Raw genomic sequence first — 15,060 nt, 5'->3', positions numbered from 1 at the left:
GATCACTTGAGAGCAAAAGTTCAAGACCAACCTGGACAACAAGCGAGACTCCGTCTCTTAAAAAAAAAAAAAAAAAAAATGAAAAATTAACCGGGTGTGCTGGTGCAGGACTGTGGTTCCAGCTACTCAGGAGGCTGAGGTAGGAGGATCGTTTGAGCCCAGGAGGTCAAGGCTGCAGTGAGCGGTGATCACGCCACTGCACTCCAGACTAGGTGAATAGAGTGAGACTCTCAAAAACCAAAACAGTCCTATCTTCCCCACTCATCCACAGCCTCTTTCTTAAAAGTCAACAGAAAACCAAGCTTTGCCAGGTAAATGAGGAGAATTAGAGCATGAAGAAGACCAAGATAAACAGAAAACCCGGTCTCAAGGTAATTACTGGTAATTCAGAAAACAGAAGAGCACAATGACAAATCTAACCGCTAATGAATATGCTTAGAAGACATTACCATGGAATTATTATATACATAAATAAGGAAAGAACATTACGAAAAAAAATCTTCAGAGAACAAAAGTGAGCTCAAAGTATGATTGTTGAAATAAAAGGGTCAGAAGACAAAGTCAACAGAATCATCCAGAAAACAGGAAATGAAGACTCTGAGAAAAGAATTAGAGAAAGATTATCAAAATAGCACTTCCAACATCTAAATTATAAGCATCCCAGAAAAACAAAACAAAACAAAAAAACCCCCACAAAGTTGATAGGGGAAAATAAAAGAGTTCCAGCGCTGAAGAAGGGCATCAGTCTTCAGATCTAAGGGACCTAGCAAGTATTCGCATCTTGAATGGAAAAAAGGGATGCCTAATACACACTTCACTACAAATTTTAGAACACTAAGCTTATAAAAACACAACCCTGGCTGGGCACAGTGGCTCACGCCTGTAATCCCAGCACTTTGGGTGGCTGAGGCGGGTGGATCACAAGGTCAGGAGTTCGAGATCAGCCTGGCCAATATGGTGAAACCCCGCCTCTACTAAAAATACAAAAGTTAGCCCGATGTGGTGGCAGGTGCCTGTAATCCCAGCTACTTGGGAGGCTCAGGCAGGAGAATCGCTTAAACCCGAGAGGCGGAGGTTGCAGTGAGCCAAGATCACACCACTGCACTCCAGCCTGAGTGACACAGCAAGACTCTGTCTCGGGGGGTTGGGGGGGACAACAACAACAAAACCCTAATGAGTTCTAAAAGTGAAAAAAATCCAGGTATATTACTCATAAAAATGATAATCAGTGGCATCTGACTTCTTAGTAGTAACATGGAATACTAGAAGACAAGAATGCAATTACTTTTTTTTTTGAAACAGCATCTCAGCTCTGTTGCCCAGGCTGGAGTGCAGTGGTGCAATCATGGCTCGCTGTAGCCACGACCTCCTGGGCTCAGGTGATCCTCATACTTCAGTTTCCCAAGTAGCTGGGACCACAGGTGCGCACCACTATGCCTGGCTAATTTTCTGTATTGATTGTAGACACAAAGCCTCACCATGTTGCCCAGGCTGGTCTCCAATTCCTGGGCTCAAGCAATCCACCCACCTCCACCTCCCAAAGTGCTGGGAATTACAGGTATGAGCCACCGTGTCTGGCTGAAGCAATGACTTTCATCCGAGAATTGTTACTCAAATTTTCCAACATAATGGAAGCAGAAAAAAATTTTCAGATATGCAGGAACTCTAACACTGCTTCTTTTAGGCACTAACTTGGGGGTGTATTTGGAAAAATGAGAGAATAAAAGCTTGAGCAGTGAAAGGAAATTCTAGGATGTCACCGCGGGCTTACAGAATCTAGTTCAGATTGGAGAGGAAAGACCGGTAGGCGCTAGGAAAAAGGTTTCAGGTGAAAGGTGTAAATACAGAGTTAGGAAGTAAGTGGTGACGTAAAACCAAATACTGTAGAAAAAAAAAGAAAGGCAATTATAAATGCCAGGGGTGGGGGGACCTGTATTAAAAAGCTATAATGCAAATATAAGGCAAACTAAGATGTGGCATGATTTTTGAGCAACTGATGGAATATAATAAAGGATCAATTTGGCTTTGCTGTAGTAACATTCTTTTTCCATGGCTCAGAGATTCTTATGCAATGGCTCACAGATGCTAGCCCTGAAAAGTAAATGAAAGCTTGCTTTCTAAATAGTTCACCATTAACTGTTTTCATTAGACCCATAGAAAAAGAAATATATTCTTAGCATGTATCACGGTGGCCTGACAGGGAACGTTTACAGAGTCATAATAATGTAAATGTCATATATTGGGCTTTCAATTTTTTAGGAACAACCTATGAACATACATGGAGGATTTGCTTCTGGTTACAGCCTGACTGTAAATACAGGTTGAGTATCCCTAATCCTCAAATCTGAAATCCAAAATGCTACAAAATGTTGAGCTCTGGAACATGGTGCTCAAAGGAAATGCTCATTGGAGTATTTCAGATTTGGGATTCTCAGATTTGGGATGATCAACCAGTAAGTATAATGCAAATATTAAAAAATCTGAAACCTGAAACGCTTCTGGACCCCAGCAGTTTGGATAAAGGGATACTCAACCTGTATTAACTAACAACCATGACATATAAAAATTACAAGTGTAGCCGACCGAAGATATGATGAATAAGTATTTCCAATCAGATGTATTAATATCCTCATTAAGAGATGATGCTGAAAGTTGATGGATCAGGAAAGAATGAAAATCAACAATAAAATAGCAAACACTGGGATGAGGAATAGTATAAGCTAAATCTTCCTATTTCATGCCAGTTGACATCTCAAAAAGGAGGACTTTAAGCATTATTTTCCTCTCATAATTACAAGGTAACCTACAGAACAAAGGTACTAAAACTGTCAAGAGAGAAACACTGGTCAGCTTTGTGGAGTAGGATCATATCCAAGTTATTACTTTCTTTTCTAAGCTATTCTGTGATATGGTGTGTTACCATATGTTACTTTTATAAAAATGAAATCTTATTAAAAAACAAAGAGAGCACCACTTGTTCCCCTTTGCTTTTTTTTTTTCTTCTGGATTAAATGCAGTACCCATGGAAAGTGTTACTTTGGCCCACTATAAACTTAAACTACTTAATGACAGCTTGAATTAGCTACTACTTGTAGATGCTATCTTCCCTCCTCAGTCCACAATAGTTCCTTCCTTATACCCTCAGCTCTCTGCTGCTACTTACAACTTATGGTATTATTTTTTCCTTTAATCAGAACACGGCGACCACCTTTTCTAGGAGAAACTCCCTAGTTCATCTTGTCTCAGCTAACTATCTACTCATTTACTGAGAAAATCTCTGACTGTATGTCCTTCCTTACACTCTTAGATAGAAATAACCCTTCTGGGTTTCTGCCTCTGCTGAGTCTTGCTTGTATGCCTCTTCCATTTCTCCTCTAATCTTTTCTATTTCTCTTCCTGGATCCCTTTTCTTTGTATTTTAGTAGGGGCAAAATAGTTCACTATTTTAACCACCTCCACACCAAAAAATGCCCGACCCTGTCTCTCCCTCCAACCACCACTATTTGCTAGTTTTTAATGGTTCAATTAACTCCATAATGAATGATTTCTGTCTGCTGCCTTTATTTCCTTGTTATCAAGGCCCTCTTTAATGATTTCAGGCTTTCGTTTCCCACACATTACACAAACTTCGTTCAGGTTTTCCAGTGATCTTCTGCTAGCCATGGCCATAGCTTTCCTTAGTCCTCACATTTCCTGATCCCTCTTCTCATGCATCTTTCATGATCCTGTGGGAAGCTTTCTCCTTTCTTTAGCTTCCTTAACTCACTGGCTCCTCTTTCTCTTTCCTGCCCTGAAACACAGTCCTTACCCCCCATTCTTCTTCTTTATTCATTTGCACAGTTTTAATCATTGTTTCTAAATTAGCAATTTCTAAAACAGGCTCATATTTATAATTTTCTATAGGACTATAATAATTTAACTCATCAGAAACTGAAAATAGTTTCAATCAAGTTTTCTTCCTACTCCTTCCCTGTCAGTTACATCTTTCTTCCCTCAGTTCTCCAGATTTATACTTTGCAGTCTTTCTTCAGCCAACTCTAATCAGCCATCAAATCCTGTCAATTACTCTTTTCAAACATATCTTAATCAGATTTATCTCTCTTTCTCTATTCCACTGGCCACTACCCACAGAACATTCCTGAATAAATCAGTAGGAACTGGTTTTTTTGGCAAGTCAAGTATTACTTTATATGCAAAAGGAAAAACCTATTTACATTAACCCAATGGCAAGGCATTTTATAGACTGAAGGATCCTCCTATAACATTAATTCTTAGTTTATGTAGCTTATACTACTGGGATTAGCATGTATTAGGCTTCTTCAAAACTGAGATACACCTAGGCACACCTTAAGGCATCAGAGAAAAACTACAATATCTCTAACAGTAGGAAGTCTCCTGATAGGTTAGTTTTGAGGGTACTACACATAAAGATGTGTATTTACTTAAAGGCACAAATGACAAATACATGAAGTACCAGAATGCTGATAAACTCCTGGATCAAACCGGAAAGCCCTTTCCAAAAAGTATTCTTCTGTGGCTCCGTTACAGATTTCTCCTATCTCAAAGGTCTCATTACTGTGATTTAGTGAAGTTGAGCACTCGAAGTTGAACAGAGCTGTATCTCAGTTTTTCCAAGTACTAGGTGCTCATGTGCTACTCAAAAGCATTGCCAAGTCACATTTGAAGTTTTCCATTCACTGGAAAACACAGTCCTACTCCTAGACTTTCCCTCCACATTCTAGTATCCCTTCATCATTCCCCATGACTCTAAAGTGAATTCTAAGCATTTCACGAGGAAGATAATTCTTGAAAAGAAAAATACAACATTAGTACTATATTTGCTCCTAATGATTGGCATAATCTATCTTCCTGTTCTTCACTTTTTGAAATAAACATAAGTTACATCTCTTGCTCGCAAAAGCTGGAATTAGTTGTACTTGTTTCTGTACTTATTCTCTCTATGGTGTAAGCTCCCAGGGGCAAGATACACATTTATCACTTCTTTTGCATGTTCCTACAGAATCTACTACAGGACTCTGTCACAGCAGTCTTTTAGTAAAGTGCTGGACTGGCTGCCTAACCACAGTGTCTCAGCTGGTGCTATAATCCACATAAGCAACTCCTTCTGAGGGTGTGATCTGTAACTATGATGGCAGACTATACAATAAGATTACAACTTTAATCGGCCATGATTATGAAATATTTCTGAAGATCCTTCTCGAGGGGGGTGCCTTGGAAGCAGACACAGGTATGAGGAATAAATGCCAGCCCACCTGCTGGCGGGAGAGGCAATGGGACCATCTCTTCAGACAGATGAGCAAGCAGGAAAACAGAGAATACAACTTGTCTTGGAAGCTAGCAGCAAGATGAGGCAGTAAAACCCATCAGCATACATCATCCTATCATTGCCCAGTGTCATCCCCAGCCTCTATTAGCCCTCGCTGCATCAGCGCAAGTCCCAGACACTTTATCCTGTTTATAATTGCTGATGAGCAGTAATAAGGCCTCCATGCCTCAGCTCCGTCTGTTCCACTTCGGCACCCACCTATTATGTAATAACTTTTATTTACAGCCTTGCTTGATGCGCTGTTCTATTAGTAGAGCCAGGAACTGAGTGGGGCAAAAAAAAAAAAAAAAGGCTCCTTAATGGGCAGTATCATTGCAAGGCTCAGACGATTTATAATGTTGCTTTGTGGCTGTTCTATCCCACTCCTTCTGGTAAGACTGCTTTGGGAAGGCTGCGTTTCTAACATGCTGCCTTCTAACAGGCACACACATGCTATGGAGCAGCACCTGAAAGGCACTCCCCAGACCTATACACCCCCACCAAAAAAAAAAAAAAAAAAAAAAAAAAATCCTAAAGTTTCAAAGGAGGAGAGGGGAATTAAATTCCCGATATGCTTTTTAAATAGTATTGGCTCAGGCATTTTGCCCCAGTGGAGCAACAGAACAGCTAATTAATGAAAGTTCAGGGCTCTTTCTCCTTGGTAAGAATGCAACCTATGATAAAATAAATGACTATTAAAAAAAAAAACCAGCTGTAACTGCATTTGTGGACTGATGCAAACTGACTTTGTGCAAAGCATGTGAATCACGAAAAGCTCAACAGCAAAGCCTGGACTTCTTACACACACACATCTCCAAAAGAGCAACAAGCCACATGACGCTTCCCTTCGTTTTTATACTAGAGTGCATTTTTATTTTTCAAGTGCAAAAATTCCTCTTGACTAGACTGCATCCTGGCTTGATGTTCCACTTATTCACTTATGTTCAGCCTTTTCTCAGAAGAGGAGCCCCTGCTTCTCCTGAGTAAAGCCCAAACGAGGCCTTGGATACAAGTTTTTGACTTTAAGTATAGCAAACTGACACATTATACATTGTGCTGTAACACAAACGTAGGTGGCAATGGGACCTAACTCTCATTTAGGGCTCCAATTACAAAACAGTTAATTTTCCCTCATCTTATCTGAAATCTATACATTGTGTGAGGTGCCTTTAAACCCACCTATTATTTACATATTGAGTATCAAATCATCTAATTATTAGTATATTTTACCTCACTCCTTCATTCTATTCTTCAACATAAACAATAGAAGCAGACTGATTAAAGTTCTTCCAGGGAAACAAAAAACCCAAGGGAAAGCAATTAGTAGATTATTTCCCTTTCCCAGTCATCCACTGAATGGCCAAAACCCACACACTGTCAGCAAACAGCCACTATGACATGCCATGATAAACTTTGGTGAGAACTGCTTTCTGTGGCAAAACATGGTCAGATGGCACCTTTTTGATTAGAGAAATTTTTGCAATCTTGCCAAATATTTGATATTCCTTTTGTCCCCTGCCCCAGGAATCAAATGAACTCCTTCAGGACCCAAGATGATGAGTGCATAAGGTAAAACATTTATTTAAATACTTTTTCCTTGCCATGACAGATTTACTGTTTTGATCTTTCTTCAATGGTTACATTAAACACTAATAAAAAATGAAAGGTTTATATCTTCCCTAATATTCTCCTGATGGGAACTTGCATATTACATAAGTAGGTCAAATTTCTAATTTTCTGCCTCAAATGCTGATACTGCAGACCTGAGGGAAGAGCTATACCTGAAGGACCAACAAGAAAGATTTGAAAAGTGAATTATACAGTTGAACTCACACCCGAAGCTACCTCCCTTTAAAATGCCACAGAGCACACCTGTAATCCCAGCACTTTGGGAGGCCAAGGTGGGCAGATTACTTGAGGTCAGGAGTTCGAGACCAGCTCGGCCAACATGGTGAAACCCCGTCACTACCAAAAATACAAAATTAGCCAGGTGTGGTGGCACGCACCTGTAGTCCCAGCTACTCAGGAGGCTGAGGCAGGAGAACTGCTTGAACCCGGGAGATGGAGATTGCAGTGAGCTGAGATCGCACCATTGCACTCCAGCCTGGGTGACAGACCGAGACTCCCTCTCAAAAACAAAAACAAAACTTCACAGAGCAGAGGAAGATGTGAAGTCCTCCTTGGAAGAGCCAACTATAGTGTGTAATATTGAACAATACAGTTCATAGCCACTGACACAACTCTCTAGGATTAAATGTACTGGCTGAAATGTTTCCATGAATATTGACTCTACCAGGAGACAGAACACACAAGTGTAGGTATTACCAAGATTTACGGGGCCACTTCTGATTTAATACCAACACCTTTAGCTTCTGAATCAATTCTAAAAATCTCATATAAACTTTTCAGTAACCTAACAACAAGGAAACATTTCCCTTTAACTGGCTTCCAAACACTGATGTGAAAGTGTTCAGCACATCAATCTTCTCTTAACTTCCAGATGAAGGGGGTTTTCTTCTCGTCTTTGCAAGAAGAAACAATATCATAAGCAGGCTGTACAAAAGAAGTGAGTCAAGGCTGGGTGTGGTGGCTCATGCCTGTCATCCCAGCACTTTGGGAGGCCGAGGCAGGTGGTTCACTTGAGGTCAGGAGTTCAAGACCAGCCTGGCCAACATGGTGAAACCCTGTCTCTACTAAAAATACAAAAATTAGCCGGGTGTGGTGGCAGGTGCCTGTAATCCCAGCTACTTGGGGGGTGGGGGTGAGGCAGGAGAATAACTTGAACCCGGGAGACAGAGGTTGCAGTGTGCCAAGATCGCACCACTGTACCACTGTACTCCAGCCTGGGTGACAAAGCAAGATTCTATCTCAAATAAAAAAAGAAGTGAGTCAAGAAAAGGGAAAAACTGTTCTCTTTTTTGGGGGAAAAAAGAGAACAATGAACAATACAAAGCTATTCTAGTTCATGTCACTGTTTGTCACACTGAAAGGAAAACAGGTGACCGAAAATAGGGAGGGAGGGAGAGAGGGATATAAAGTAAAATTGAATTAACATGCTTCTTATAGGGTAAAAAGATGACACTTTCTGGAAAAACTGCCTTGATATTTAATGGAACAGTTCTTAGTCTCATCTGCTTTAATCTCAGACACTTCTACAGCTCCCTTATGGCCTCACAAATAGTTATTTTATTTGCTGCTCTACTAATTATAATCACATTTTAAACATACACACAGCATGTTTTAACCATCCTTTTTCAAGTCTATCAGAGAGAATATTATCTACTCAACATATGTGCTGGAAGAAGAGTAAAAGTGAATATAGATAGAGCGGAGCAAAAGTCTGTTGACAATACTGTCAAGTCCACAAACTTGCCTATGAATTCTTTCTTATTTTAATTTCAGAAATAAAAGGACTATAAAATGAAAAGGTGTATCCATCCCCTCAAGCATTTACCCTTTGAGTTACAAGCAATACAATTACACTCTTTAAGTAAGTTATTATTGACTGTAGTCACACTGTTGTGCTATCACATAGTGAATCTTATTCATTCTATTTTTTTGGTACCCATCAACCATCCCCGCCTCTTTCCCCAACCCTTCAGTACCCTTCCCAGCCTCTGGTAACCAACCTTCTACTTTTTATGTCCATGAGTTCAACGGCTTTGATTTTTAGATCCCACAAATAAAAGAGAAAGTACAACGTTTGTCTTTCTGTGCCTGGCTTATTTCAATTAACATAATGACCTCCAGTTCCATCCATGTTGTTGCAAATGATGGAACAGATAAAAAAAGAATGACTGGATCTCATTCTTTCTTATGGTTGAATAATACTCCATTGTGTATAAGTACCACATTTTCTTTATCCATTCATCTGTTGGTAGATACTTAGGTTGCTTCCAATGAATATTGTTTCCATGAATATTGACTCTACCAGGAGATAAAACACATAAGTGTAGGTATTACTAAGATTTATGGGGCCACTTCTGATTTAATACCAACACTCTTTAGCTTCTGAATCAATTTTTAAAATATCATATAAACTTCCAGTAACCTAACAGCAAGGAAACATTTCATGCTGGAAACATTCTTAGCTATTGTGAATAGTGCTGCAATATATATGGGAGTGCAGATACCACTTCAGTATACTTATTTCCTTATTTTGGCTATGTACCCAGCAGTGGAATGGCTGGATCATATGGGAGCCCAATTATTTGAGAAACCTCCAAACTGTTCTCCATAGTGGTTGTAATAATTTACATTCCCACCAACAGTGTACAAGGAATTCCTTTTCTCCACATCCTTGTCAATACTTGTTATTGCCTGTCTTCTGAATATAAGCCAGTTTAATTGGGGTGAGATGACATCTCATTGTAGTTTTGATTTGTAGTTCTCTGACGATCAATGATGTTGAGCAACTTTTTATATGTCTGTTTGCCATTCATAGGTCTTCTTTTGAGAAATGTCTATTCAAATCTTCTGTCTGTTTTTTTGATCGATTATTAGATTTTGTCCTATTTAGTTGTTGGAGCTCCTTAAATATTCTGGTTATTAATCCCTTGTCAGATGAGTAGTTTGCAAATATTTTCTCCCATTCTCTGGGTTGTCTCTTCACTTTGTTAGCTGTATTCTTTGCTGTGCAGAAGCTGTTTAACCTGATGTGATCGCATTTGTCCATTTTAGCTTTGGTTGCCTGTGCTTGTGGGGTATGCTCAAGAAATTTTTGCCCAGACCAATGTCCTGGATATTTCTCCCAATCTTTTCTTGTAGTAGTTTCATAGTTTGAGGTTTCAGATTTAAGTCTTTAATCCACTTTGATTTTATTTTTGTATGTGGAGAGAGACAGGGGTCTAGTTTCATACTTCTGCACATGAGTATCCAGTTTTCCCAGCACCATTTATTGGAGATATTTTCTTTTCTCTAGTATATGTTCTTGGCACCTTTGTCAAAAATGAGTTCACTGTAGGTGTGTGGATTTGTTTCTGGGTTCTCTATTCCATTCCATTGGTCTACATATCTTTTTATGCCAGTTTGAGGTTGTTCTGGTTAGTATAGCTCTGTAGTATAAATTGAAGTCTCATAATGTCATTCCTCCAGTTTTGTTCTTTTTGCTTACGATAGCTTTGTCTATTCTGGGTCTTTTGTTGTTCCATATAAATTTTAGGATTTTTTTCTATTTCTGTGAAGAATGTCACTGGTATTTTGATAGGGATTGCATTGAATCTGTGCCCACTTTAAACATAAAAATATACTGTCATGAAGATAGCCAGCTAAATATCCAAATACCTTCCAAATAAAATTAAAGGAGATGACTGTAACTCCGGTTACAGTATTTTATTAGCTGAAGGTATAACTTGACGGTTAGAAAAGATGAGGGACAAAAGGGAATCTTCTTGTAGTTTGTTGCCAAGGAAAGTGATCTCTTTCCTTCACAAAATACTTGTTCTTGGCAGGAATGTTGTGAGAATTAACAAGGGAACATGTGGAAAACATTCTGAGCTCTGAAGAAATGTAAACTCTGTCTAGTAATCTGAAGGTATGATGTGCTTTAACTCACACATTCTAACCAAAAGCAACCTAGGACTTGGCAGTACTTTTCAACTCTTCATTGACTGTGGAGATCCTAGAACTCTACAAAGATGGTAGGGGTGGGGTGGAGTGGGAACGACCACACACCCTTCATCTATCTAATTTCTCTCTGTTTAAATACCAAAATGATCATCGTGTTGCTTTTTTATTTTTTTTTAATCTAAAGATTACAATGAGTTTAACTGTTAATAATTCTGTCTGGCTAAAAGCCATCATATAAAGAAAAGTCTTTCCCATCTATCTCACAAAGACAAACTGATCTTTCATTTGCTACTACAGCTACTTTTTGCAATCTGCTTCGTAGACTCACAGTGATCACAAAACAATTTCTTAAAAAAGAGCTGCCTCTCTCATTTTGATAGTTGTAGACCAACCACTCTACACTGCTGCCCACCTCTAAAATATGACAATACCCTTCACCTGATCAAAACAGTAATTGCTTGAAATACAAATGGTGACTGATTAATCAATCACTGAGGTCTTCACTTACTAAACCACATAATAATGGGTCTAATGCTAATCCTTAGAGCTAATTTTCAAAGTACTAAGAAGAAAATGATCTGTTTACTGAAGAAGTCATTAACCTTTTTAAACTGCATAGTCCTATCTAACTGGCCATGTACCTTTAATATGTATATATTTGTGTGTGTATTTGCTGTTTATAAACTGCATGTATGGGCTGAGCACGGTTGCTCATGCCTGTAATCCTAGCACTGTGGGAGGTCAAGGCGAGAGGACTGCCTGAGCTCAAGAGTTTGAGACCAGTCTGGGCAACATAATAAGACCTTGTCTTTATTAAAAAATAAAAATAAATAAATAAATAAAAGTATATGTATGAACACACACACATATAATAAAGTGAATTTGCAAAATATAAATTAAGGCTGAGATAAAGAGCTTTTGCTATTTTCTCCACACACCTCAGACAGTACATTGTGTGCCCTTTGTCAGAGACGGCTGACTTAAAGAACCACCTTAGTCTAATCTCAGTATCCTTGTTCTAACACACATCATTATTAAGCTCAAGGCTGCTTTAGGTCCAACCTTGTATGGATAGATTGGATGGGAGGAGGTAGGTAAGATCTCACTTAAGGTCTCACTCTGTGTCTCCTAAGAAATGACACCACTGTAAAGTAATTATTTACTGACCATCTATGCCTGAAGGCCCATGTGGTTTCTGTCTGGGAGACTACCTCACAGTAGAAGCACTGTACAGCACATGTCATAGATATGAATCCTAACTTGAAGAGCCTAGACATAAAGGCTACAAAGAACATTCCAGCAAAATAACAATAACAATTGGTGGTTCAGAAGAAAAATGATTGAAATCCCCACCATGGGCAACCTGCTGACTGCAGGACACAGAGAAAGATGGAGACAAAGACAGTCAACCTGTGGTTCTCAAAATAAATCATTTCAATTTACCTCTCAAAATCAGGAAGCTCTGTCCTTTAGAGTCAGGGCCAATATTTAAGGCTGAGGCAGTCTGGCTAGCCTAAGAGGGCACAGAACAGTCTTCTTGAAAAGAAGTACAGCTGGCTTAACTTGATGACCTTTAATGTCCATTGCTGAGAAATCTCAATTTTCCTTCAGGCTTTTTAGGAGATGACCTGGACATTGCATTAATTTCCTTCCAAGCAAGAAATTCTCCATCTTTTTCTAGTTAAGAGGTAGGTATTCACCTCAACGAAGGCCTACAAAGGTATGACTGAGAGCTCAATGCCTGTCATTTCACTAACGGAGATCTAAAAATATTACCACCTTCAACTGCCACTATAATACTGACATGTAACAAAGAACGTGATCAATATAAAATCAGTTAATAAAACTGAGTACAGCAAAGAATGCCAGTACTTCTACTTTACTCTTCTTTCTGCCTAAAATACTCATTGATGTATTTATCAACACCATCTAATGGGTGCTCACTATAAAGATATAATCCTCATTAAGATGATGGAAACTACCAGTAATTGAAGGTCTATTAGGTGAGCATATTATTTTTTTCTTACACCAAACCTGAGAGATTTATCATCCCATTTTACAGATGAAGAACAAAATTTTGAGATGTTAACTTATTTACTTAAAATCACAACTGGTAAGTGGCTAAGCTTAGATCTGAAACCAGATGTGATTTTAGAACTCACATTTTCAAACTACTTTAGTGTATGCTATATTTCCAAATATATGTTTCATTTTTTCCATATTTCATTCAACAGTCTGCTTTTCCACAGTCTGGTTAGGAGAAGAAACAATTACAATAAAATGTGAAAAGCAGTAGCATGATATAGGGGAAAACAGCGCAGGCTTTAGTGTCTTAAAGATCCGTGTCCAAGTCTTGGCTCCATCACTTACTAGCAATATTATCTCAGAAAATATACTTAAGTTTATGAGTGCCTACATTTTTTTCATCTGTAAAAGAGGAAAAATAATAACTATCTTGAAGAACTGTTCTGAAAATTAAATTACCATGTATATAAAATATACAGAATAATACCTGGCAATGTAGTAAGCATACAATAAATATCATTATTAGTTTTAGATACACAAAATAGTATAGGATCAGAGAGGAGGAAACAGATCTACCTAGAAGATGGACACAAGTAAATGATATTCACCAGAGTTTCCTGCTTGTTTCAGCATCTGAGTACATGAGTCTCCTTCCCAAACCTCTCAGGATGACCCAGTGTGTTCAAGGTTCAACTCCTTGACTGCTACCTGAACATAGTGGTAGTGCTTAACAGTAAAGCCTTCTCTGAGGGCCAAGATTGGAAGGAAAAACAAAAGACTAAAGTACTGTGCATTTGAAGTGCTGGACCTCAAATCAAAGGACACTGAATGTTTTCAAGCTTCTGGCTGGAGTGGGCAGGTAGTTGGCTCTCTGACTTCCCGCTGGCTAAAATCAGGATGGTCTATCTCACTTCAGGCACAGCTCTTTTCTACCTCAGTAAAAAAAAGAAATCTACTCTACCTAGTGGAGCTTGGGAACCGGGCACAAGAGGGATAAGAACATGCCAAGACTATCTCACACCCCCTACCCTACCTCAAAGCTGGTCATTTGGAAGAGAAGAGTACAACTGAGTTCCTTAGAATTCAGTGCCTGGATGTTACTTTGAAACTATGCAAACATGGGCCTGACTGAGGCCTAGCATCAAATTATGAGCATTTAAAGGAGCTGAGGTTGCAGTGTTAAGTTTGTACATGGAAACAGTTTGTGCTACTTCTGCTGGGGAGTTACAAGGATTTTTTAAGTTATGAAAAATACTCTGTGACCTTTAGAAAAACAATATAATTATTTTGACTCTTCCAAATATAATCCTTGAGATATTTTAAATAGCAGACAGCATTATTAGAAAAGGCAAATATCGCTTAAAATAAATTAAGCTACAGGCGAAGGCAACAATGGGCATTCTGACTGCTCTTTAGAGAGCCACAAGATTCATGACTTCATATTTAATAAAAATGTCACAGATGCACAAAGATGTTTTTGGGATTCTATGCATCTAGAAGAGAAATTTCAGTATATCCACGGCTTTAAATCGAATGACAGAAAATAATTATCCAAAAATAGTAGGATACTACAATAGTCAATTTAAAACACTGATTTTCTACATTAAAACTATTAAAATTTCAATCTTGGCCCTCAGATTAGTTACATGCTACAAACTGGGCAATGATCTGCATTTCTGTTGTGTCTTAATAACGTTCTTCAGATATTAGAAATTATGTATATTTTGATGTCCACCTTCTTGGATCTAGCTGCATTTACTCAGTCAATCTGACTCCCCAAAAACATCATTCTGACCTCTGCTGACACTCCGCCGTGAATACTAAGCACATATCACCTCACAACTGACGGAAGAAATCAGAGTACCCTGAGAAGCACACCAAGTTAGAACCAGTTGCTAACTTCTGTGAAGAATTCAAATAAGGATGAATTCACATAAGAATGACGTACATACCTGTACCACAGGATCTTTTTGTTGGTGTGATTAATGAGACATGAGCTGTGTCTGTGCATGGCCCACCTAGAAACAGAAAGGCAGGTGCATCAGTCAGGACACATCCTTTACATGCCCATATAGTTGCTTTCCTGAGTAAAGAGAAACTTTAAAAAGGAAAAGATCAACCTGAAAATATAACGAGGAGAA

At 38.7% G+C, this 15,060-nt stretch overlaps 1 protein-coding gene across 4 annotated transcripts in view; it reads right to left on the bottom strand.

Moving 5' to 3' along the window:
• Positions 1 to 15,060, bottom strand: part of ZFAND3 (zinc finger AN1-type containing 3) — a 334,898-nt gene that overhangs the window by 57,296 nt on the left and 262,542 nt on the right. For 3 of the 4 annotated variants that reach the window (NM_021943.3, XM_011514790.3, XM_017011171.3), the window contains one exon: positions 14,872 to 14,937. The exons of the other annotated variant lie outside the window; for it this stretch is intronic. In NM_021943.3, the coding sequence (NP_068762.1) occupies positions 14,872 to 14,937 (66 nt within the window). The remainder of the gene's footprint in view (positions 1 to 14,871; positions 14,938 to 15,060) is intronic. 4 annotated transcript variants of the gene reach the window in all.

The sequence above is a fragment of the Homo sapiens genome, chromosome 6, assembly GCF_000001405.40.
Source record: "Homo sapiens chromosome 6, GRCh38.p14 Primary Assembly".
Classification (NCBI taxonomy): domain Eukaryota; kingdom Metazoa; phylum Chordata; class Mammalia; order Primates; family Hominidae; genus Homo; species Homo sapiens.
The sequence above is the reverse complement of the archived record's forward strand: the minus strand, read 5'-3'. Positions and strand labels throughout refer to the sequence as shown.